Source organism: Homo sapiens, chromosome 3 (assembly GCF_000001405.40).
Source record: "Homo sapiens chromosome 3, GRCh38.p14 Primary Assembly".
Classification (NCBI taxonomy): domain Eukaryota; kingdom Metazoa; phylum Chordata; class Mammalia; order Primates; family Hominidae; genus Homo; species Homo sapiens.
In genome coordinates, this window is record NC_000003.12 from 37,456,747 (window position 1) to 37,482,617 (window position 25,871).

At 45.7% G+C, this 25,871-nt stretch overlaps 1 protein-coding gene across 1 annotated transcript in view, besides 2 other annotated features; it reads left to right on the forward strand.

Moving 5' to 3' along the window:
* Positions 1 to 25,871, forward strand: part of ITGA9 (integrin subunit alpha 9) — a 371,367-nt gene that overhangs the window by 4,606 nt on the left and 340,890 nt on the right. Inside the window, exons 2-4 of the mRNA NM_002207.3 lie at positions 14,261 to 14,388; positions 16,608 to 16,714; positions 24,738 to 24,861. Coding sequence (NP_002198.2) covers positions 14,261 to 14,388; positions 16,608 to 16,714; positions 24,738 to 24,861 — 359 coding nt within the window. The remainder of the gene's footprint in view (positions 1 to 14,260; positions 14,389 to 16,607; positions 16,715 to 24,737; positions 24,862 to 25,871) is intronic.
* Positions 17,826 to 18,338: an enhancer, noted in NCBI's record as "H3K4me1 hESC enhancer chr3:37516063-37516575 (GRCh37/hg19 assembly coordinates)". NCBI's record gives its function as "activates a minimal SCP1, AML or CMV promoter by ChIP-STARR-seq in naive H9 embryonic stem cells {active_cell/tissue: H9 hESC(naive)}" and the evidence as "EXISTENCE:reporter gene assay evidence [ECO:0000049][PMID:30033119]".
* Positions 18,339 to 18,850: an enhancer, noted in NCBI's record as "H3K4me1 hESC enhancer chr3:37516576-37517087 (GRCh37/hg19 assembly coordinates)". NCBI's record gives its function as "activates a minimal SCP1, AML or CMV promoter by ChIP-STARR-seq in naive H9 embryonic stem cells {active_cell/tissue: H9 hESC(naive)}" and the evidence as "EXISTENCE:reporter gene assay evidence [ECO:0000049][PMID:30033119]".

A 25,871-nucleotide genomic window follows, 5' to 3' on the forward strand; every position in this document is an offset into this window, starting at 1 on the left:
TCCAAGCCAAGGAGAACATATCCTTGATTTGCATGAAGGTTGAGAATTAAAAGAACAAGCTAGATAGTTCTGGTGAGCTGTCTGATGTAGTCACCACTAGCCAGATATATTGGTATGTAAATTAACTAAAAATAAAATTTAAAATGCAGCTTCTCAGTTGCACTTGCCACATTTCAAGTACTCAGTAGCCACATGGGGCTAGTAGCTACTGCATTGGACACAACACAGAGAGAACATTTTCATCATCACGGAAAGTTCTACTGGGCAGTGTGGGTTTAGAGCAATGATGTAAGTCTTAAAGGGCTAGACAAGGATCAAAAGGAGAGGTAAGAAAAAGAAAAAGAAAAAAAATCAACCCATAGCATATGTGAGTACTAAAACCGAAACGGGTGCTTACATCTAACTAAAAATTATTGCCTGCTGAAGAGGTTGAATTGTCTTTCTACTCATAAAACACCGCAGGGCCTGATCTATATTTAGGGCTGGGGGTTCAACAATGAAAACTTTTTGCTCACAATCTGACAGGTGAGAAAATTGTGGGGTTCTAGTTGTGTGTCTCAAATGAAATTTAAGATCTAGGCTCTGATGGGGGAGAGGCTTGTCCTCAGGCAGGCATGAGTTGTTCAGAGGGGCAGAAGAGAAACTCCTGTGAAGGGAAAACATTTAGAAGGGGAGCCCTGGGATCATAGGACCTGCTGCCCCTGGCCCTGCCCGTCTTGCTGAGGAAACACCCAGAAATGGTGGTGGGAGCCCTGCCTTCTCATAACCTCAGTGGTGAGCATCTTTGCAGAGTTCCTCTGTCCTGTGCCAGACTCTAGGGGAAGGTGTAGGTCCGCTTCCTCATTTGAATTTTTCTAGGGAAATGGCATTTTCAGACATTGTTCCTGGTCCTCACTCACCCTACAGAGCCTGCTTTCTCAAGCTCTCAAGAAGGAACAACACATATATGAGGCCTGAGTTCCAAGGGGATCCAAAAAGCATCTTCTCGGGGTTTCTGGGAAATTTCTCTGAAGATCTGGAGAAGCTGGCAAGGGTGCTGTTTTCTGAGCTAGTGCTGAATGCTGGCTGGGGGCAGAGACAGCTGTCTTGCCCAGTGGAGAACCTTCCAGGGCAAGAAGACAGTCTTGTCTCAACCAGTCATTAACGGCCCTGAGTGTGAGAGTGTGAAGGGCCGGGCCCCAGCCAGCTCTGATTCCCTGGTGACATGCTGCTGTTCAGGAAATGGTCTCCTGATAACTTCTATTGTGATTTGTTCAGGGAAAATGTTGTTTTTACATTTGTTAAAAGCAGCCATGGTGTTCTCTGAAATTCCTTGCTTTCAAGGGGTTGCATGGAATTTTAACAACCAAAATGAATTTCGTCAGATAGTATCTACAAGAAGTCAGATGCTTTCACAGGCATAATATTCTTTAGTTGAGTCTTTGTAACATCCTGGTGAGTGGTTTCCAGTTTGCTATTTGGGGAACTGAGGCTTACAGAGTTACACGCCTTGTTCAAGGCCCACCCCAGCCTGAGAGATCAATGCACATTCACTGGGGGCTTGTGTCAGTTTGCATCCTTTAGGAAGCAGATGCTAGGACAGAGATAGGAGTGTGAGAGAATTGTTGGGGGCGGGTATTGCCTGTGAAAGACAAATGGGGAAGTTGGATGGGACAGAGAGAGCCTCTGACTCTATGCAGATCTGATTAAAGTCTCAGTCAACTCAACAGAGATCACTGGGCAGAAATAGCTGTCCTCTGCCAGGGTCAGGTATTGGCTGGAGCTGTCTGGGAAGAGCACAGCCTCAGCTGGAATCCTGCAGCAGATCCCAAGAAAGCTGCAGCTGGAGGCTGTCAGCTGACATTCCGCCTTGCAGCTGAACAGCATGAAGTGACCCACACCTCTGTGGCTGCCCTGGAGCCTGCCACGCGTGAATCACTGTGTTGGGAGGGTGTGAGATGTGCTCCTTGGCCTGCAGTGTGGCTGGGGATCATCTTTGCTCATACCTCTGTAATCAGTGTGTGGAGCGTCAGGACTGACAGTAGGGCCATTGGGACTGGCCCAGAAACAGAATCCTGAGCAATCTTGCCACCAGCTGACTCACAAGGTGCCTCTTTCTGATGTCAGAGAAGTCACAGGTGATGGATTTCAGAAGAAAGGAGCTCTGCTTTACGCTGAGCCACCGAGTTCTCTGAACTGCAAATCCTTTTAGCCAAGTGGATTTGGCGATCAACCAAAGCAGAATAAAATGTTTTATCCCAACCTTCCTTTTTGCCAGAAGGAGTCCTAGGAAGCCGATGTAAGTCCAAGATTGGGAAAAATCTACAGTCTTTGAAACCACGGGCTCACTTGGTCCACCAATGTCTGTTCTGACCAAAAAGGACTTCTGTGTTGAGTTTAAATTAGCAACAGTAGCAACAATAACACCAAAAGCAGCAACAGTGTATCTGAATATTCAGTAGATGTCAAGTGCTATCTACATTGGTACTCATACCAGCTCATTTAATGTTCCCAACAGTCCTTTCAGCTGGTAGCCATTTGGGCTGCCATAACAAACTGTTATAGGTTGGGTTGCTTATAAATGACAGAATTTATTTCTCACAGATCTAGAGCCTTGGAAGTCCAAGATCAGGGCCCCAGCAGATTTGCTGTCTGGTAAGCACCTGTTTCTTGGTTCATAGATAGTGGTGTTCTCACTCTAAGCTCACACAGTGAAAGGGATGAGGGAGCTCTCTGGGGCCACATTTATAAGGGCACTAACTCATTCATAGGTTATATCCTCATGACCTAATCACCTCCCAAAGTCCCCACCTCCAAATAACATTACCTTGGGGTGAAGATTTCAACATATACATTTTGAGGGAACACAAGCATTCAGTCTGTAGCAGCTGGCTATCATTTTATCCCCATTCATGGAGGGGAAGCTGAGGTACAGAGGCATTATTGCCCAAGTTACATGGCTAATGAGTTGTCGAGCACAGGCCTGTGCCTTTGCCCACCCAGGCTGACTGCCTGTCAGGAAGTCAAGAATCCGAGTTTGGGGGCTTCAGGGCGCTCAAACATCTGTCTTGTGAAGTTCTGTTCTGCCTGCTTTCCTGGAAAAGTTATTGAATTGCAATAGCAGTAGCTTCTCTGCGGCACCCTTTGGGGATGCTTATTCATGACCCACTGGCTACTCTTGGGGGGATGCTAGGGTTCTGTTTTCTGGAGATGTTTGATCACTGAGTGAACAGGGACCCAATGATTCTGCCAGGGACATTTGAAGGGCCTCTTCTCACACCAAGGCTGTCTAGCATTAAGACAGAAGTGTCCCAGGAAAGATGGAGTACTCTGCAATATTCCATGTATCCCTCTAACCTCCTGGGGCTGCTTTGTTACTATCCCCCCATCCACTCTGAGTTCTACTGGCTCCCACCACTTATTTAGGAATCTCTGAATTGGGGAAGGTAGCCATGGTGGCCAGTGTTTCAGAATCACTCCTGGGTTTGTAACTTTATTAAAGAAACCCACACAGAGTCAAACTTCTGCACCAGTGACCAACAATATGTGAGAGGATGATTTGTATCCTCAAATATTTGAACACTTAATAAAAGGCATGAATGGGTACAAAAAATTAGAAAGAATGAGTAAGAATGAGTAAGAACTAGTATTTGATAGCACAACAAAATGACAATAGTCAACAATAATTTGATTGTAGTTTAAAAATAACTAAAAGAGTATAATTGAATCACTTGTAACATAAAGGATAAACGCTTCAGGTGATGGATACCCCATTTACCCTGCTGTGGTTATTACATATTACATGCCTGTAACAAAATATCTCATGTACCTCATAAATATGTACCTACTGTGTGCCCAAATCTTTTTTTTTTTTTTTTTTTTGAGATGGAGTCTTGCTCTGTCACCCAGGCTGGAGTGCAGTGGTGCGATCTCGGCTCACTGCGAGCTCCACCTTCTGGGTTCACGCCATTCTCCTGCCTCAGCCTCCCGAGTAGCTGGGACTACAGGTGCCCCCCACCACACCCGGCTAATTTTTTGTATTTTTAGTAGAGAGTGGGTTTCACTGTGTTGGGCAGAATAGTCTCGATCTCCTGACCTCGTGATCTGCCCACTTTGGCCTCCCGAAGTGCTGGGATTACAGGCGTGAGCCACCGCACCCGGACTATGTGCCCAAATTTTTAAGAAAAATAAAAAATCACGGAACAAATTTCCTCCATCTTAGCTGATCTGTTGGTGTGTTAAGGCCACCTGGGAGATGGCCTTTCCTACCCCTTCCTATCTAGTGTCCAAGTGCTGTGATGTATGTGGATCCCAGAGTAAACTTGGTGTTGTGCAGTACACACCAGTAGGCAGCATTGCAGAGGGTCTTGGCACCTCTTTTGCACCAGGATGGGTCCTAGAGGGTGGATGTTCCAGATTCAGCTGAGTAGTGTTCCTGTCTCTACCTTCATTGAATCCCTGGTTCCACAGCAACAACCAGATCCACGATTTTTGTGCCATAAAAGGGGGCACTGCTGAGATGCACAAGTGCCTGGTGGCCAAGAGAGTGGGCTCCAGCATTAGCCCTGCCCTCAGCCTGCCTTACTCAGCTCTCTGCTTAGGAGCTGTGTGATCTTGACCAATTACTTCAGCTGTTTGAACCTCAGTTTCCTTTTCTGTAAAGAGTAATAAGGGTACATCCCTCATTAGGTTGGTGGGGGCATTAAATGAGATGATATCTGCAAAGCCCAGAGCACAACACGGCACACAGTAAGCCCTTGATAGATGCTCGTAGTTATTTCTCTTGTTACTTGATCTGATTTATGAAACCAATGGTCTTTTTCATCCTGACTTGAGATGCTGAGTTTTCTTTCAGTATTTTTGTTGATTCATTCATTTATTCATCAGACTTTGAGTGTTGACACTCAACACTGAAATGAATGAGATATTCTAACATAGACACACTCTTCATTATGTGTGGCCTCTAACATTTTTGTTATGCTCTACATAAATCTGCATTTTTGTGCATTCATTTACACCCTGTCTGCTTCCAAAAAGGATCTGAGATGGCTACTTTAAATGGAGATCTTTGGGATTGTAAATCCTAGAATTTTGCCTGCCTGTTTCTTCTCTGTGCTCTTGGAAAGCCAAGGAGCAGATGGGAGGCCACCCTTGTTATGGGGAGCTCCAGCTCCCACCCCAGGCTCCAGATAAGTCTGGGAGGTAGATCTACAGTTCCAGGATGGGATACTTTTTTAAAAAGTAAATGTAAATGTATTGCCATATTTCTCTTGAAAAAAAATTATCACAAGAAACCAACAAGAAGATATCAAGGCTTTTTCTTAGATCTGCCAGAAGTCTGTAATTTGCTCTATCCCTTGGATTTTAGTGTTCACTTGCTGCTTTCAGATGTGGAAGGAAAACCTCAGTCCTTTTGCCTTGCCTCCTTCTCCAGTTGCCTCCCCTCAGTGTGTCTGCCAAGACCTGAGCCCCAGGCCAGGGCAGCAGCCTCTGACCTTTCACTCCCTAACACACAAGCTGGGGACCAATGTCACTCCAAGGTTGGACCCTGCCCCCGTGCCTCTGCTTTTCCCAGTTGGGCATGGACTCCACCAATTTCATTCTCTGACTTAGCGTTATGTGGTGTGGATTGTACTGCTCTCCCTCCATTTACTGTAACCTAGGCTCTCCAGGATAAAAATTATTATTGCCAACCTTTTATGAATACTTTCTATATGCCAGAACCACTGTGTTCATAGTTCCCTTTATGCAGAGCAGGCTACCACTCCCGAAGCACAGAGAAGCCAAGTCACTTGTCCAAGGTTACCCAGCAAGTAAGTAAATTACAGAGTTGTGCTTTGAACCAAGGTGGGACTGATTTAATGCTAAACTGACTGTTCTCAGGGTTAGCCATGCTACCCTCCCTACCTCCACCTCCATCAAGGCCCTGTCCAAGGTATCAGGTTTCTAAGGAAAAAGGAGAAGGGCCCTGAAAGGAAAAGGGCTTCTTCGGAGGGCATTTGTGTCTGCTCTTGGCCTTGCAGATAAAATACCATAATCTACTCTTGCAAATCAGGCCATCCTGGGGTGCATGGTCCCCCAAACACTTTCATCTGCCTTTTCCTTTTGTGCCTCATCACTGCCTTGGGAGGGGGATCATGCATTTGTTATTATCCTTGTTTTACAGAAAAGGAAAGGAAGGGTCAGAGTGGCCAGGGGACTTGTCTAAAGTCACATAGCTGTAGCTGGCACACTCCTGGGTGTGACTTCGGATACACTCTTTAGGGCCTATTCTACTACTCCACCATGCCTGTCCCATCTCAGGGCCTTCAGTAAAAGTCTGTGGTCCTGGTTGGTGATGAGATTCCTTTGAGGGAGGGAAAGGAGACCAGGTAGCTAGAGGAGCCATAGCAATAGTTGTCAGCTGCATAGTTGGATAATTGGTTTGGACTTAGCGGGAATTAGTGGGCGATGGAATTACCACGGTCCAGATTCCGTCAGAAGTGGCATGCCTTAGCTTGATGACGTATCTGTTTTCTATCACCACAATATTGCTGCATCCCTAACAAACCACCCCAAAACTTAGTGGCTTAAATCAACCACCACCTGTAGCTTATTCTCTGGTTGGCAGCTTAGGTTGGGTTCAGCTGGGTGGTTCTTCTGTTCTCTCCAGGACTCACTCATGCATCTGTGGTCAACTTCTGGGTTAGCTGGTTGGCTGGCTGGCAAAGGATGGCTTCAGCTGGGAGGGCTTATTTTTGCTCCATATGTATTTCATCCTCTTGCAGGCTAGCCTGGGCTTGTACACATGGTGGTTGGGTAGGGTACCAACAGAACAATCAGAGGCTTGCATGATTTCTTGAAGCCTAAGCTCAGAAGTCAAACCATGCCCCTCTGCCACATTCTTTTGGCCAATGTAAGTCACAGGTCCAGACTACATCAAGAGGAGGCAGAAACACATTTCATCTCTTGACAAGAGAAGCTGCAAAGTCACACTGAAAAGAGCAGGGATACAGGAAGGATGGGGAATTGTGGCCACTTTGTAATATATTACTGGTGGTGAAAGCATCCTGGCTGTCCCTGAATTACTGTGACAGTCTGAATAAATTCCTGCCCAGCGCACCAGAAAAGGGAACAAGGTTCTATTAACCTAAATAGCAAACACAGAGAGAGGCTCTCTAAAAGAAAATGTTTACTCAGGAATAGGGCATTGCAGTGGGAATACATGTGTCACAGTAATCTGCATGAATATTCAGGGAGGTAAAGGAAAACAAAGGCTTTTAAAGGAAAAATGAGGATTACTTAATTGTTTTGAGATAATTATCTTTGGATACAAGGATCAGTGACAAGGGTGGCACCAGTTTGAGGTTGGATAGAGAGTTGCTAGGTAGATTTCCTCACAGAAGGTGTGAGTGTGTGTGTGTGTGTGTGTGTGTGTGTGTGTGTGTAAGGTTGTGATGGCCTTTGTGCAAGATTGTGTTTTTGCAGATTTTTTTGTGCTAGTTCTTGTTATCAGTTGTTTATGCATGAAAACCTTTCCTTCATGGCGTCCCACAGCTCTATTTGTCAGGGTTTTTTTTTTTTTTTTAAACATAAGTGACTCCATTTTGATTCTGACAACTTTTGCAATTCTAAGGATCTATGAGCTCTTGGGTGCTGCCAGGAGTTAGAACTGGGATGAGTTGAGTGTCAAGGTGTTTGACCTACTACTGCCCAGCAGTCTAACATTTCTTTGAACACCTACTTTGTAGCAGGCACTATGATGGGTGTTTTATAAACATTCTTTTGCTTAAACCTTACAAGAAACCTTCTTAGGTACACTTTTATTCCTCCTGTTTTACAGAAGAGGAAAACTGAGGCTTGGAGTGTTTAAGACACTTGTCTAAGAGACACAGCTTGTCAGCAGTAGAGGCAGGACTTAAACCCTATGTTACTGCCTGTGCTTCTTACACTTTATCACCATGCATAACTTTCCCATAAAGCTTAGAAGCCAGGTAGAACTACTGGCTTAAAACCCTAGAAAGCAGTCAGTATCCACTGCTTAAATACCAGGAGCCTCAGTTTCCCCAAATATAAGAAGAGCTTATGAGGCCTTTCAGGTCCCATGGCTCCATTGGGCAAGCATTGGTCCCTAGTGAGTCCCCTCCCTCTGGAAATGAAGGGTTTGGTGTGGTCAGAGGTGGCTATCCTGGCACCAGCTCTTCCTTTACTCAAGCCTGGGCTGCTTTCTGCCCAGTAAGGGATGCGGACAATTCCTGGGGTTTCCCCGTGGTGGACACACAGTGAAGAATTTGACTCATGTAACCAAAACGTGGGTCCCTGGGGAAGCTTTGGCTTTGGGATCAAATGCTGAAAGCAAACCTAATGGGTTTAAAGTTTTTAATCCCCAGTTGCTGTCCTTGATCTGGCTATAATTTTGCCTGTGGAATCGCTGCTGTGGTGTTTGTGGGGAGGGAGGGAATCTTTGAGACACTGTCAGTTCTCAGTCCTGCCCAGGGAGGCAGCTGCGGCTCAGTCCTTCTCTGTCACCCGCTCTCCAGAGAATTTACCTGCAGATTACCCTCAAAACATGAGACAGGTTCAGAGCGAGGTGGGCGGCTGGAATGGAGCCTTCACAGACAGCTTGACCACACACAGGGAGCTCAGGAAGCAGCTTTGTTGGAAAAATGCAGGGCACTTAAACTGCCACACCAGGAGGGGGTTTGGAGAGGCTGGAAAGAGCATGCCATTGGACACAGACACTCTGGGTTCAAATCCCAGCTCTGCCACTTACTGGTGGTGTGACCCAACATCTCTGAATGGAAAACACATGAGAGGCTGCCTGACAGGATGGCCATGAGCAAGAAAGCACCCTTGTGAGCATAACCAGTGTTGGTGCATGAACCGATGCACCCACACTGCTTATTAAGAGAGGCAAACCTCTGGTTAACACCATGACAGCAGTGTCAATGCTTTGGAAAAGCAAGGTGATTGAAGTTCACCTTTTGAGTCACCTGAGCCTGATGGGGAGGGGAAGGTCTTTTCTCTTCCAAACCCCAGCATGCCCTTTGACATGACGGAGCTTTCACATCAGAGTTCTCACTTCAGAGCTGCCCTCAAAGGCTCACTGGGGCTTGCTCAGGTGGGGATTACATATGTGAGTAGCTGGCACCAGAGGGGGCACTGGGTACCTGTTGGTTCCCTTTTCCTCCTTTCAGGCTGATGTGGGGTGGGTAGAATAGGGCACGGGTGATGTATTTGACTACTGGGGTGCGTGCTACAGCTTGGCATCTTAACATGAATAACCATCTTAACCTCCTCTGGCCACCTGCTTCCCTATCTGTAAAATGGGGATAATATTAGTACCTCCCGTAGGGTTGCTGTGAAGAGTAAATTTGATCCTGCCCGCAATGAGCCTAACCCAGCACCTGCACACTCTATGTGCCTGCTACATGCTGGTTGCCCTAATTAGAAGTTTAGAGTCCTGCATTGATGAGAGGACCTAAAAGGCTTATGAGGCCAGGCATAGTGGCTCAGGCTTGTAATCCCAACACTTTGGGAGGCTGAGGCAGGTGGATCACCTGAGGTCAGAAGTTCAAGACCGGCCTTACCAATATGGTGAAACCCCATCTCTACTAAAAATATAAAAATTAGCGGGGCGTGGTGGCGTGTGCCTGTGGTACCCAGCTACTAGGGAGGCTGAGACAAGAGAATTGCTTGAACCCGGGAGGTGGAGGTTGCAGTGAGCGGAGATCGCCGCACTGCACTCCAGCCTGGGTAACAGAGCAAGACACCATCTCAAAAAAAAAAAAAAAAAAAAAAAAAAAAAAGGGCCTTTGAGTTTGTGGCATCTTTAACTGGGGATGGGATAGGAGGAGAGAGCCTTGCTTCTCAAGGGCAATCTCTTCTACTGGCTCCAAATGAACATAATTATTTGTAATCAGTTTAGATAGTTACATAGTACTTCTTAAACTATCAATCACCTGGAGAGCTTGTTAAAATGCATTCTGATTTAATGGGCTGGGGCCTAAGATTCTGCATTTCCGACAAGTGCCAGGTGTTCCCCATGCTGCTGGTCTGAGGACCACACTTGAAGTAGCAAGCAAAGCAGAGAAGTAGCTTGATGCTTTGTTGATGGCAGCCTGTTGGTGGGGACACTCAGGCCCTTTTATGTGGTAACCATAGCAGAAAGGAACATAGTCTTGTTGAGAGTACCAGGAGAGTTGGGGCGATGTTTGAAGTGGCTAGGATGTCTTTTTATAACTTAGCAGATGGCATCTTTTCAGTGGCTTGTTCTGAACTCTGGGCCATGGTAATCTCTGTATCCCTTGGGATCAGCCTGGTAAACAGCCAGCTGAATTAACTTCAGAAAAGACTCACTCATGGGCTGGCCTGCGGTAGTCTTGCTGGATGGTGGCCTAGGTACAGAGCAGTGCTGGGCTGCGGAGGAAGCCACGATGTTCTGTAAACACATAGATACAAGCACATTCCCGCGTGCCACCTCGTGAGTGTCATGCATGTGTGTGCATGCCCCCTTATCTCTAGCCTGATTTTCCATTGCACAGGATTTGGGAAAAACCTTTCATCTGACCAGCTGATCAGAAGTTTTGAACTGAAAGGTTGTTATCAGGGTTTGAATCAGCTATTGTTGTTAGAACCATTGAGTACCTTGGGCTTGGAAGGAAATAATAATTCAGCAGGTTCCTTTCCACTTTAGATTTTGGTGTAAACTTTGTCCCTGTCAGTCTTGGCTCTAGGCTGGAGGAAGCAGTGCCTGGGAATAAGCTCTCCAGGGTCCCCTCCTGCTTAGATAACCTATGAATCTGTGTCTGTGAATTTGGAGCCATGGCATTATCTGAAATTTCCAGGGTTCCAATGCCAGTTTGGGAGACACAGTGGAGGAAGAACCTGTTGTTTCTTGCAGCCTTTTCCCTTCCCTCGGACGTGATGAATTCTCACTCTTGTGAATTTTTTTGTGATTTTTGTAAAATAAATTACAAGTGGCAATTAGTCACTGTGCTGATGTAAATTTGGAGTTGGTGGGAATTTTTGGACTCTGCTGTGTGGCCCTGGGGTTTTTGAGTGGAAGAGGTATTTTATGCTCCCCAGGTCTTAGAACCTGACCTGTGGAAAGGCTGAGGATGTTTCAGCAGTTTAGACAGGGCAAACTGCTAATTCTTCTCACCTGTGAAAACAGCTGGTCTTATGAAGCGCAATATGTGACTTACCCCAGTGGCTCTAAAGCTCAGCCGCTACAGCAAGGGGGAAAATTGATCCCTTAATGTGGCTTTCTTCTCACTGGAGTTTTGTTTTGTACGTCATTGTGCATTTGAGTTACAGCAGACAAGGGCCAGCCAAACTGCTCTTGTGTGGGTGAGGGAGGCAATGTGATCTGTTTGGGAAAGTGCTTGCTTTGATTTCCAAAGGGCTGTGGGTTCCAGCCCTGCTTCTGCTTGGGAATTCTGCAGTTGTGCCCAGCAAACACCTGGGGAGGTGCATCCCAGGGCATTATTGAGGAGCCGCAGGGCAGCCTGGGTACCTGCACCATTGGGAGTCTTGCTTCTCTCACTCCCCAGCAGGGCATCTTCCTCATGGAATCAGATACAGACCCTCCAAGACTGACCTGGAAGGAGACACTCCAGTGAGGGGTGGGTCTCCCTGGCTCTTTGTACCCTCCAATTCTTCAGGTTCTAGGTGTTGAGCTCAGGGCAGTGGGAATTAAGATGGGACCCACACACATTCCCATGAACCTTAACACCATGTCTCTGAGCCAGGTTAGTGACGATGTCCTTTGTGATATCTGCCAGCCTTTGCTGGAGTCCCCTTTGAGGGCCTCAGACTTCTGTTGTATGATGTAGAGGCCTTGTTTGTCTGCCCCTTTGCCTAGCTGGAGTGTTGCAGGAGGAGCAGCAGCATTCCAAGACCAGGGTGCAGTGAATGACTGAGATCCCAAGATGAAGGTGGCTTTCAGGGCAGAGGGAAGGGAGCCTGGGTCAGCTTTCTACATCCCCAGGAAAGCTGTCCAGGGTCATCCTAACCTCTGCTAAACACCTTTTCCACAAATACATAATATGTAATGCACTCTATTCCAAGGCATGTGGGAGATGATCTATTTCATGATACAGAAGAAACCCTTGTGAGGTGAATTCCCTCTCTTTTCTAGGCTGCTGGAGATAAGGAACAACGCCTGTTCTCACTAAGAAGTGGCTTGGCATTTTCTACTCTTTGAACATCAGTGTGGATTTTGTTTGAAGTCTCATTGTCCAAGACCTTTTCCAAATGGCTCGTAGCTCAGCACAAACCGTGCCTGATTAGTGTTGTTTGGTATTCTTTGCTATAGATCTTCTGTTGACTGCTTTCCGGAAACAATGCATAAAACTGTAGGTCAGAATTATTTTTGTAACATCTGGAGGGGAGCTTACTGCCATTTCCCCCGTGTTCTGCACTCACACAGGCCCAAACCTGCCTCTTCTGTCTTCTGGGTGGGTCTTGCCCCTTTCCTGTAGCCGGGGGATGCTCCTGCTGGGGATGGCCCACCCTAGGCAGCTTTTCAGTTCAAGATGGAGGATACAGAGGTTCATTCTTGCTCCTGTTTGCATGCAAACTGTTCTATTTCTGTTTTGCAGTGGGAGAGAGGATACGGTTTATAATTCCGCACTGCTGCTATTTTTTTTCCTATTTGCCCCTAAATGTCCATGCTGTGTGTGTGGTGGGTGGTAGGAGGAGGAGAGGGAGACAGAAGAGAAATAGCGTTTCTAAATTTTCTATTTGTTACTGAAATGTAACACATCCAGGAAAGTGTCCATATCATATACAGTTATCACAAATTTGTATAATGTCACTGAGGTTGAATGACAACATTATCCGCACCCCCAGCAATTCCCCTCCCTAATTGCAACCCTGCTTTCTCCTCTCCAGAGGTAACCATTATCCTGCCTTCTAACACTATAGTTAAATTTCACCTGCTTTTGAACTTTAGATAAATGGAATCAGACTGTGAGTATGCTATTGTATCTGGCATCTTTTGTTCAGTATTGTATTTGTGCAGTTCATCTCTGTGGTTGCAGTTGAATGCTGTTCATTTGTTTTCATTGCTGCATAGAACTCTTTTTTTGTTTTGTTTTGTTTTTGAGACAGAGTCTCACTCTGTTGCCCAGACTGGAGTGCAGTGGCATGATCTCAGCTCACTGTAACCTCTGCCTCTTGGGTTCAAGCGATTCTCCTGCCTCAGCCTCTCAAGCAGCTGGGATTACAGGCACCTGCCACCATGCCCAGCTAATTTTTTGTATTTTTAGTAGAGACAGGGTTTCACCATGTTGCCCAGACTGGTCTTGAACTCCTAAGCTCAGGCAGTCTGCCCACCTCGGCCTCCCAGTGCTGCATAGAATTCTGTTGTATTGCTGTACCATGATTTACCTGTCCACTCTAGCACTGATGGGCCTTTAGGTTTCTTCTTGTTTTTTTTTTTTTTTTTGATATTACATATGCAGCTTTGAACATTTTGCATGTCTCCTGGTAGAAATGTATGCATCTCTATTAGGTATAGTCCTAGAAATGGAATTACTGGGTCAAAGGGTAGGTGCATGTTCAGCTTTATTAGGAACTGTTGAATAGTTTTCCCAGTGGTTTTAATGGTTTATACTGCCACTAGCAGTGTATGAAGGTTCTAGTTACTCTATATCCTTGCCAGCACTTGGGATTTTCAGTCTTTTTGGTTTGAGCCTTCTGGTTGGTATGAAGTTGAGTTTCTCTGATAACTAACATAGTTGAGCACCTTTTCATGCATTTATTGGCCATTTGGCTATCTTCTTTTGTGAAGTATCTATGCTTGTCTTTGGCCTATTCTGTTGACTTGTCTTTTCTTATTAATCAATGAGGAGTTTTTAAAATAGATTTTGGATAGGAACCTTTTGTTGGTTGTACGTGTTCCCACCCATCCATCGCAGTCTCCTGGGTAGGTGGGACTAAAAGCGTGCGCTGCCTTGCCTGGCCATTTTTTTTTGTGAAGATGGGATTTGCCATGTCACCCAGGCTGGCCTGGAATTCCTGGGCTCAAGCGATCCACCCGCCTCGGCCTCTCAAAATGCTAGGATTACAGGCATGAGCCACCACATTCAGCCTCCTTAAGCTTTAATATGCCTGGGAAAGATCTAACAGGTTTCACTTTAGGACCTCTCCCCCAAGCCCACACAGAAAAGTATAATAATATGATTTTCAAAGTGAGCACTCAGAGAGCCCACCCGTGGTTGGGTGAATACTTAGCCATCTGCCTCCTATTTTCTTATCGTAGGTTGTGACAGAATGCCTTTTTCTCTTGCTGCAGGGTCCTTGTGGGCGCACCAAAGGCAGATTCCAAATACAGCCCTTCAGTGAAGTCTCCTGGGGCTGTGTTTAAGTGCCGTGTTCACACCAACCCTGACCGGAGATGCACCGAACTGGACATGGCTCGAGGTGGGTGACCATTACTGCTGTGGTGGAAATGGGTTCTGTACCCTTATACCTTGCTCTTCTTCTTCCCAGGATGGCCTGATCATTCACTCACCCATCCATCCTTCCCTCCTTCCCTCCCTCCTTCTCTCCAACAAGCATGTATTGAGTACGTAATAGTTATTAAGCACTGGGATACACCAGTGAACAAAAAAAACAAGGATGCTGCCATCCCTAGTCCCATAAATTAGTGGGCAAAAGAGATATTAAGACAAGTAATTGAGAGAGAAAAGACCAGAGGGAAGGTGAGTATTTGATTTAATCTAGATAGGAGGGTCAAGAAAGGTCTGGGACCTTTCGACATGATTAGAAGGATGCGTAGTCGTTAGCTGGGCAGGTGCAGGAAGCACAGCCTTCAAGCAGAGGTGCCATTTGGAAGCACAGAGCGAGGTTGTGCAGCTGGAGAGGGAGCCAGGAGAGTGGAGCACAGGAGGGCAGCAAGGCAGGCTGGGGCCAGGCCACGTGGGGCCTAGCAGGCCAGGGCAATGTGCTGGAATTTTATTCTGTGTGTGAGTGGGGAGGCCACTGAAATCAATTTTGGGTATTACATTTTAACTAGGGAAAGATATGATCAGATGGATGTTTTTAAAAGCTCACTTTGCGCTGGGCATGGTGGCTCATGACTGTAATCCCATCACTTTGGGAGGCTGAGGTGGGCACATTGCTTGAGCCCAGAAGTTCAAGACCAGCCTGTGCAACATGGTGAAAGCCTATCTCTACTAAAAATACAAATATTAGCTGAACGTGGTGATGCATGCCTGTAGTCCCAGCTACTCAGGAGGCCGAGGCAGGAGGATCACTTGAACCCAGGAGGTCAAGGGTGCAGTGAGCTGAGATTGTGCCACTGCACTCCAGCCTGGGTGACAGAACTGAGACTCTTGTCTCCAAAAAGATAAAAAAATAAAATAAAAGCTCACTTTGATCTAGCAGAAAATATAAGATCTTTGGAATCAGATGGTTCTGACTGCATTCAAAGCCCAGCTGGGACTGATTGGGAATGTCCTATAGCTTCTTGGGCCTCAGTTCCCTCACCTTCAAGATCAAGACTAATATACCTACCTCGCAAGGATGGTCTTGAGAAGATTAAGTGAGATAATACAGGTGAGTACACAGAACTGTGCTTGGCACATCAGTACAAAGGAGGTATTTTGTTATAATCATGACTGCAAGCATTTCTTTCTCCAAAGTCTTTTTGCATAAAGATTTTCTAATTTTTTTGTTGTTTTTTGTTTGTTTGTTTGTTTTTGAGACAGAGTCTTGCTGTGTCACCCAGGCTAGAGTGCAATGGTACAATCTCTGCTCACTGCAACCTCTGCCTCCCAGGTTCAAGCGATTCTCCTGCCTCAGCCTCCCGAGTAGCTGGGATTACAGTGTATGACCATCTTCGGCTAATTTTTGTGTTTTTAGTGGAGACGGGGTTTCGCCATGTTGGCCAGGCTGGTCTCGAACTTCTGGCCTCAAGTGAACCGCCCACCTCAGCCTCCCAAAGTGCTGGGATTACAGGTGTGAGCCACCATGCCTGGCCAAGATCTTCTAATTATTTTTTAAATAAAGAGTTATTGTGATTTTCTTTAGCAGAAAAAGAGGTTTGTGAACTGTTTGTTACTGGTGCATAACAAATTAAGGAGCTTACTTCAGAACATAAATCAAGGCCCTGCCTCTTTCCATGAGAAAGTCTTGCCATGTGGTTGGGTGCAGTGGCTTATGCCTATAACCCCAGCACTTCGGGAGGTTGGGGTGGGCGGATCACTTGAGGTTAGGAGTTTGAGACCAGCCTGGACAACATGGTGAAAACCCATCTCTGCTAAAAATATGAACATTAGTGGGATGTGGTGGCGCACACCTGTAATCCCAGCTACTTGGGAGGCTGAGGCAGGGCAATCGCTTGAACCTGGGAGGCAGAGGTTGCAATGAGCTGAGATCGTGCCACTGCACTCCAGCCTGGACGACAGAGAGAGACTGTCTCAAAAAAAAAAAAAAAAAAAAAAAAAGAAAGAAAAAGAAAGCCTTGCTATGTAAAAAAACAGTTGTCTGGATTAAACAGTATAGTACATAGTGATGGAGTTGATTTACATTTTGTGGAAAGTTCCTTATTTCCTCATAGGGCTGTGGACCACCCTTTGAAAGCAGCCAGCAGAACATCACTCCTCAACCCAAGTCTGGCTCTTCTCCTCTTTCTCCAGGGAAGAATCGGGGCACGTCCTGCGGAAAGACCTGCCGGGAAGACCGCGATGATGAGTGGATGGGGGTGAGCCTGGCCCGACAGCCCAAGGCTGATGGCCGTGTGTTGGTAAGTCCCTCCTGGGGGTGCTGTGGGAAGGGGGTGGCACTCTGAGAATGAATGATCTGTTAGGAAGGCTGGATGGCATGGTGACAAGTGCATGGCTTTGAGGTTGCTTATTCTGGACTACTGCTTAGACAAATGACTTATCTTCTTATTTTCTTTATCTGTCAAATGTGAATAATGTCTGTCCCAAGGTGCTGAGATGTGACTATTGAAAAATAAAACATATGTGAAAAGTGCTTTGTACATCTCATTCATTACATAGGTATTTGTGTGTGTGTGTCTTAAATTGAGGTATAATTTACAGTACACAAATCTTAAGATTACAGTCTTGATTTTCACAATTGTACACACCTGTGTAACCATATGCCCACTGAGATATAGAATATTTCCATCGTCCCAAAAGTCTCCGATGTCCCTTTCCAGCCAACTCCTCTCACCTGAGACAAACCACAGCTGTGATTTGTATAATACATTACTTTTGCTTTTTCTAGAATTTCATATAAATGGAATCCTACAGTATGTGCTCTTTTATATAAGACTTCTTTCACTCAAAATAATATTTTCTGAAATTAATCCCCATTGTACGTATCAGTAGTTCATTCCTGTTTATCTCTACATAATATTACATTTTATGAAATAAATGTTATTTTTAACTAGTTATTTATCGGACCTCCAAAGCACCTATGCTGTATTTTGATCCGTAGGTGCTTTGAGGGAGATAGAAAGAAAAGTCTTTGCATTTGAGACTCCTGAGATCCTGGAGTTGTGCTGTGCAGTAAGGTGGCCACCAGCCCTGTGTCCTTATTTAAACTTAAATTTATCCAAATTAAACTAGAAATTCAGGTTTTTAGTCATATTAGCCACATTTAAGTGGCTCAATAATCACAAATGGTTACTGGCTACTCTATTGGAAAGCAGAGAGAGAGAATATTTTCATCATCACAGAAAGTTTTATTAGACTCAACACGAAAGGAATTTCTAACACTGCAGAGGTTTTGTTTTTGTCAATTTTTCCTTTAAGCTTTTCTATGAGGTATAATACTAAAGCACTTAACACACCCAGCTGTGAGTGCACAGCCCGATGGGTTTTCACGCATGTACACTTATGCATCCCCATTGCCAGTACTCCGGAAGAACCCCTGCACCCTTTCCCAGTCAGTTCCTCTGCCCTTGGTGAGTGAACAACTATTCTGACATAGGCTTTCTCTTGCCCTTGACTTTTATCAGAAGCTGTACGAAGATTTTTGTTATAAAAGCGTAAGCTCAAGAGGGGAAAGTAATACTAGCTGCCGCTTATGGAGGGCTTCATTTGGGTCACATGCTGCAAAGCTGAGGGTTTCGTGTGTATTTTATCCCAGGGAAACAGGTTTTCCTTAAGGCACTAGGCAAAGTGTTTTTGTCCCCTCTCTAAGGAGCCCACTTTTGTGTTAAACTTCTTCATGGCATAAGCTGTTAATCTGAATTCCGTCCTCAGCACAATTAAGCATCTCCCCCTTGTCGGGCCCCTTGGGAGAGGAGGAAGCAGCTGGATGCTGTCGCCAGCATGGTGGGGGCCTCCCTCCTGGAAGCCGTTGTAGGTCCTGCACAGGCTCCCTGAGCCCGCTGTTTGCCTTGGTTTCCAGTCCTTTCATCACTGTCATGGCTGGCCCTGGACCCTCTCCAAACTTCCACATTCCTCCAGGCATGGTGGCCTGACCCTGACTGGACAAATGGGCCCCAGAGGGGCTGAACCCTTGTCTGCCATTCTGGGGAAAGAAAGGGAAGAAGCTGACTCATCTGTAAATCAAAGGGTAGCCCAAGGTCCTGATTCAGAACAAAAAGGAGGTGGTGGCCCCGTGGCAGCATAACACAAGATGCTCTTAAGGGCATCGAGCCTAGAGTCAGAGTTTGCTCCTGTGAAAATATTTCCTCTCTGCAAGGAAGGATAACCTCTCTGTGGCTGAGGGCTTGTTTCCAGAGGGGCAAGACAGAATTCTGTGTTACCACAGATCAGTATCACAAAGGAGTCATTTCTGGGGACAGTGAACAGCAATGAGGACCACAGGGAAGATTTAGCAAAGGGAGCCAAGAAGGCAGCACTAGAGCATTTGTGGATAATGGTGCCATGGATAGTCCTGTCTAATTAATTGCATGCAGGACTATTTTTTTAATGTTTTATGAAGTTATTGCATCATCCACTCAGTAAGCCACTGTATATGGGTGCTGGGCAAAGAGGAGCATCTGACACCATCTGCTTTCCTTGTGCCTTTTGTTTGTTTTTCTAATTGTGGCCAAACACATGACATAAAACTTACCACCTTAACCATTTTGAGTGTACAGTAGTGGTAAATGTATGGCACATTGTTGTACAACAAACCTTTAAACTTTATCTTGCAAAACTTACATCCATTGAACAACACTCTCCTTTTTCTCCTTCCCGTGGTTCCTGGCAACATTGTATTTCTATTAAGAGTTTGACTACTTTAGATCTTATGTGAGTGGAGTGTGGTGTTCGTCCTTTTGTGACGAACTTACTTCATTTAGCATAATGTCCTCAAGGTTCATCATGTTGTAGCATGTGACCGGATCTCCTTCCTTTTTAAAGGCAGAATAATATTTCATTGTATGAATTCACCATGTTTTCTTTATTCATCTATTGACGGACATTTAGGTTGGTTCTATCTCCTGGCTGCCGTGATGAATGCTGCTATAAATGTGTACCAATATCTCTTTGAGATCTTGTTTTCAGTTCTTTGGGGTATACACCCGGAAGTGGGATTACTGGATCAAATGGTACTTCTATTTTTAATTTTTAAGAAACCTCCATACTATTTTCCCAAATGGCTGCAGCATTTTAAGTTCTCACCAACAGTGCACAAGGGTTTCAATGGCTCCACGTCCTTGCCAACATTTATTGTTTTCCTTTTTTTTTTTAAATAGTGGCCCTCCTAATGGGTGTGAGATAATATTTTATTGTGATTTTGGTTTGCATCTCCCTGATGATTAGTAACATTGAGCATTGTTTCATCATCTGCTTGTTGGTCATTTTATATCTTTTTTGGAGAAATGTTTAGGTCCTTTGCCCAATTTTAAATTGGATTGTTTGGTTTTTATTGTTGTTGAGTTATCCTCATGGCATTTTGCACATGGGCAGTCTTGCTAGGAAAGGCTTGTCCTAAGTCCCCTCTGCCCCTGCCCCACTCTGTCCTCGGCACTTCTCTTTCTTCCCCTGTATGGGCTCTGCCTCCTTCGTGAAGCCTGTTAAGGGTTTTCTGGAACAAGCTGAGCATCTTTTGTGTCATTAGGAACTCAACATCATCTTATTACTTATATTGTGTGTATAATTTATTTTGTGGCCATATGTCCCCTTTTATGGAAGCCACTTGGGGATAGAGACCAAATCTACCCACTTTCATTCTCAGCATCTGGAGGACATCTCTCTAAGGAATGGCATCTGAAAGTGTGTTTGAATAATACAGGGACTGAGGGTCAATGTTAAAACAATTAGAAACCAAATTAGTTGCCATCTTTTCTTGGTGGCTGATTCTAAGTGGCTGAAGGAAACACCAGGAAACATTCTGTAAAATGTTCCTTGGAAATGGCAGGCAAAAACAAGATACAGTGAGTGTCCCTATTTACATTTGGAGGTCTCATAGCCATTTGCTTTTTTCTTTAATGTTTCAACCCTACCTGTCAGAGCTTTCTGGGAGGCAAGTATTTACTTTTAAATTAAAAATGGGAAGGATATGTGTTGTTCAGGTGCATTTTGAGAACTTGAGAAGTGCCTGGGGGTGTAGGCAAGAGACCAGTATCCCCAAGGAGCACAATATTGGATTCCAAGGTTGGGTTTGAAGAGGGAGAGGTGGGCTAGCTCTTTTGAAAGTGGTGTCTGGTGCTGATAGAAAACCTAAGAACAAATGGAGAATTTGAAAGCTGCAATGGGGCGTGAAATGTCTCAGTGACCAAAGGCATTATGTGGACCATGGACCCAGCAACCAGCTCTGGCAAGGACCAGATTGTCAGGCTGGTCTGGCAGGTTGACCTTGGCTTAGTGCCTGCCCATCTCAGCTCCATGGACACTGTTGCACCTCCCAGGTTTTCCCCAGAAACAAATGATACTGGATGTAAAGATAGCATCAGGATTAGAGGCAAGCCCCTTCCCTTCTCACTCTCTCATCCTGAGCTTCCTGTGTGCAGACGACATTTTAAGAAATGAGCGGGGAGGGGAATCACTTCTTGAAATAACCACTGAACAAACTCTGTATAGGCACTGACTGCTGCTCAGACTTTGGAGGACAACTCAAAATGTTCAAGTCTAATGTCGCCCCTTTTCATCAGACTTGCCAAGGCTCAGACAACAAATAATTTAAGCTTCTAGATTATTTTTGTGCAGAAGCAGTATTCTCTGGTTCTCTTTGTCATTTCCTTTCTAATTATCAGGGCTGTCCTTATCTGTTCAGTGCTTCCCATCTGTCCATTTTTTTTTTTCAAAGCCACAGGGTACATTTTTGCATTTACTTCTGTTGCTCTGTTTCCTGATTTTTTTTAAAGTGAACTTTTTATTGAGCTGTAACACACATGCAGAAAAAGGTATAAATCATCAATGTATACCTCAATAAATTTTCATTAGGTGAACGTCCTCAGAATAACATTTTCACACCCCAGCAGCCCCTTCCCAATGCCCCTCCTGGCCACTTCCTCCTCGGTTGGGGAGCTTCTTAGGGGAGTCTCATGGCATCTCAGCCTCTCTGTGATCCTGCTCCCCACCACACACCATTCTTAGCAGCCAGGCCCAGTTGTGGCCGTGCACTGTGGACCTGGATGCATGACAAAGGCTTTGGCCATCTCTATGGCAGGTGCGAATGTAGGAGGGTTGGCAGGGACTGATGTGCCTTTGTGGCCGAAGCACCCGGAAAGTGCCATTACCCACCTCTAGGAGGGATGTGTTGTTTCCATACAACAAAAAAGGCCTTTGAAATAAAGTGTTTATTTTCTTTCTCTTTTTCCTCTTTTGGGAGGAAGAGCAATCCTTATACCTTGAAATGTGTCAGATTCTAATATTTGGAGTGGGACAAGGCCCTCCTTCCCCTTTCTTATGATTAGTTGAAATCTGAGTTTGAGCAAGTCTTGCTGTTTTCAGAGAATGCTCTCCTTCTCCTGTTCTTCCCTCACAGCCGAACTCATTTGGAGAGATTGATGGAGTTACTAATGCTTTGGAGACAGTCCCTAGGAATTTTTTTAAAATGTAGTGGTCAGATTGACATGTGTGTATATATAATGATAATCAAGGCTAAACACAGTCTTCTCTTTCTGTAATTTATATTCAGAGACACTTTGCATTGTTTTCCTACATGAATCCTTCCTTTGACACTTTGATCTCTGACCTCCCAGAATGCTTTTAGTTTAGTATGAAATGCAATATTTGGATCTTCTAGGAATTTTCCAAGATCACCCCTTAAATAGTTTATGGCACTTAAAAAATGAGACAATACACCAGACATTAAGTACAGCAAAGCCTTCCTATAAGTGTCAGTGTGCAGCTGGCTATCAGACAGCACCATGATAAACATCCGCCTCTTTTCACAGCCCCTCCAACTCAGAAATACAATAAAACATGGTCAACCCTTGAAGCCAAGGGCTTTGCTAAGTCCAAAAACTTAGCAAAACCAAAACATAACTGATTTACCCACAAATTAGATAACAATAAGTGATTCAAGTTTGCGAGCCATAAGAATTGAGTCAGAACTTTAAAAATCAATTATTTAGCAGTATGGAGTGATTATTTACTTAGTGATATATTTTTTATAGTTCTCTGCCTCATATCATTTCAGTCTATTTAGAAACCTGCTATTTTAGCACAAAACAATATCAAGGAGAGGAGTGAATGTGGTTTGCAGCAGAAAAAATAACAATAGATTGTTTTCTGTAGTTTAATGTCATACGACAAGAGGCAGAATGTGGGCAAGCTCAGGTTTTGAGAGTCATTCTGAGTGTGTCCTCTTTTGCCATTGGGCAGAGAGTGGCCTTGTCCAGGGCCTTGGTGGCAGTGGCTTGAAGGATGAAGAGCAGAGAGCTTAGAAGGCTGTGATCTTATCATAGAATGATGTCAGGGAGAACCAGGCCCCAAGAGCCCCCTCACTCACTCGGTGACGTGGGGCATTCCATTCGACCCCAGAGTGGTTATTTCACATGTCCTGGGACATGTGGCAGGGGGGCTGTAAAGAGGATAAAGTCACCAGGCCTGCCCCAGGGGGTGGGTTTTGATGGCCTCTCAGGTAGGAATGAGAAGTTTTAAGATGGAAAATGCTTCATAGTGAAACAAGGAAGACTCAGAATTCCTGGATTCCAGTGCTGTTTGCAGCACTTACTAGCTCTGCCACTTAGGCAAAGCACTCTTTGATACATGGTGCTCTTGTACAGAAAATGGGAATTCTAAAGACACCTCTGCTCACCTTCCAGGATTGCAGAAGAGGTCAGAGGTAGGCCATAAGAACGCTAAATGTTATCACTTACGAAAACAATGCGTTTGAGGGAGGCAAACCAAGATGTTAAAAACTGATTATTTTCAAAAGCAATATTTTAAGAAAATGCATTCACTGGCTGGGGTGAAGTGAACTGATATCAGAAGTGAGTAGTGAATGCCCAGGAGAAGTGGAACGGGCTGGGCAGGGTAGAGTGTGTGCCTCTGAGTAAGCAGCTCGGCTCTTCATCAGCACAGCAGTGACATCTGGATGTGCAGAGACATGCACGGGAACTGGGGCCACTGTCATGTCCAAGCAGAAGGCAGGGGCATGTTTAGTGTGGCAGAAGGACGATCCAGGCCTGCATCCTGGCTGCTGGCACTGCTCCAGTGTCTGTTAGCAGAGCTGCCCTGCCTCATGGTGTCTTGCGTGGCTTCGACCCTAGTGCTGAGAGGCTCCTCTGGAGAGCTGGCCAATGCATCTGTCCATCTTCTTCGCCAGTATGCGGAGCTCTCATGCACCCCAAGACCCTTGGCCATGAACCTTCCTTCAGCTTTCTCCTCAGAGAGGCCTTCCTTGACCTGCCTGGCAAAACCAGCCACTCCCTGGCATGAGGGAACTTTCTGGTGAGATGGAGATGTTCTGTGTCTTGCTAGGGCCTTGGTGACATGAGTGTGTACATTTGTCAAAGCTCATTTGTGCATTTTGCTGTATGTAAGTTTCCATAAAAAAACAACTCTCCACACACATTTACTTCTAGTTAATGAGATGCATGCTGAAGTGTTTCTGTGGGTAGAAACATGGTTGAATATCAGCCATTCCTCCCTTCCCTGCTGTCTCCACATCGGTTCAGTCCCTTGGGCCTGTCAGCTCTGAAGCCACCCCCGTCGCCCATCTCCACTGCCCCTCCTGGTCCAGACCTGCATCATCTCTCACCTGGTGTTCATTTGCACTTTTGCCCTCCTGCAGTCTCCACCAAGCAGCCAAATGGTCTTTCCAAACTGTCACTTGGATCATGCTTCTCAACTGTGTAAGACTCTCCACCACTTCCCATTGCAGATCTGCTGAAGTCACAGCCATTCCTACGTCCCCCTGTGGTCCAACCTTGGCCGCCTCTTTGATCTTATCTCCTTCCCACCATGGTCACTCCAGACCGGCCTTTCTTTCTCTTGAGCCTCTGAGCCTTTCTCACGATGTATCCTTTACATTCTGCTATCCTTTGAATCCTCCCAGAACCCTCTTCCCCTCATGCTTCAGGCCTTCCCGACCTCTGGTGGAAACTATCCTTCCCACTCCCAGATTCTCTATTCTATAACCTTGTTTCTTTCCTTCCCAATGCTCAGGACTAGCTACAATTCTCATTTGTTGATATATTTATTTCCTGTCTCCTAGTAGGCTCCCAGTGGCTTGTTCCTGTTCATGCAGTTTTCTGATGCCCAGAAAAGTGCCTGTTATGAAGGTGTGGCTTTCTGGTCCCTCTGCTCCTCTCTTCTCCCACAGAAAGAAACATCTGGCACTGACAGGAGTCTGCTTTGTGATCTTTTGGGGCCAACTTTCCTGCTCTCAACTGCTCTCTATCCCTTTAGGCCTGTGCTCATCGCTGGAAGAACATCTACTATGAAGCCGACCACATCCTACCCCATGGCTTCTGCTACATCATCCCCTCCAACCTCCAGGCCAAAGGCAGGACGCTGATCCCTTGCTATGAAGGTGAGCATGGATTGATTTTTCCTCATCCCCCTACCCACCTCATGCCCTAAGCCCGCCTTCCCACCTCTATGCACCACCAGCTGAACATTTCCCCAGCTTTCCACATGCTCATGATAGGGCAGCACTGTTTGCTCCCAGATGGTCTCTTGGTCCCCAAGGCCCTGCCCAGAGAAGAGGCAGGTACAGAGGGGGCAGCAGTCCCAGGCCTTTCCAACCCTCACCTGACTTGGCTGCAGAGCCCACGGTGCTTACCAAGCATTATGAAGTCTCAGGGACCGAAATTCACCAAGCCTCAGCCAAGTGACCTAACAGCTGCCTTGGTTTTCTGGTAATGCCAGGTGCTGTGTTGCCTTGGGAAACTTACCTTCTCTCTCTGGACCTCAGTTTCCTTGTCCGAATATTCAGTGGTTGGCCCAGATGATCTCTACAGCCCCAGGCAGCTCCAAGTCAGTCATTAGGCTCCCACACAGCTTCTGGCTGCACTGTGGACAGATGTCCTGAGGCTGGGGGGAGAGGAGACCCAGGATTCATAAAGCAACAGCTGGACAGAAACCTGACACTCTGAACTTTCAGCATTTCATGACATTTGAGGTCTGACTTTCCTTCCCATGTGGTCCTGCAGCCCAGGCAGATGCTGGAGAATTGGGCGCATCCTGAATGTGGTTTTAAGAGCTCCTCGCCAAGGGGCACTTGGAAGGAAAATGTATCCTCTCAGACTTAGAACCTTCAAATGCCTGGGCATCGAGGACAGTCACTAATAGTGATTGAGTCAGTCACTATTTAGCCCAGTCGAATCTGAGCTTTAAGCGTTCAGAAAACACGGTTATTTTCTTCAGTTTGATAGCTCGTAGTTTCAAGTTTTCTCAGCCTAATTTTGGGTAAGCTGGAACCTGCTCCTTCTGTAAGTGCTGGACTATTTATTTCTTAATTCCCCTCCTACTTTATTTGGACAGAAGTCTCACTGGCTTATGTCCACATTGCCTTTGGGCCTCCCTGGGTTTTCCTAGGTT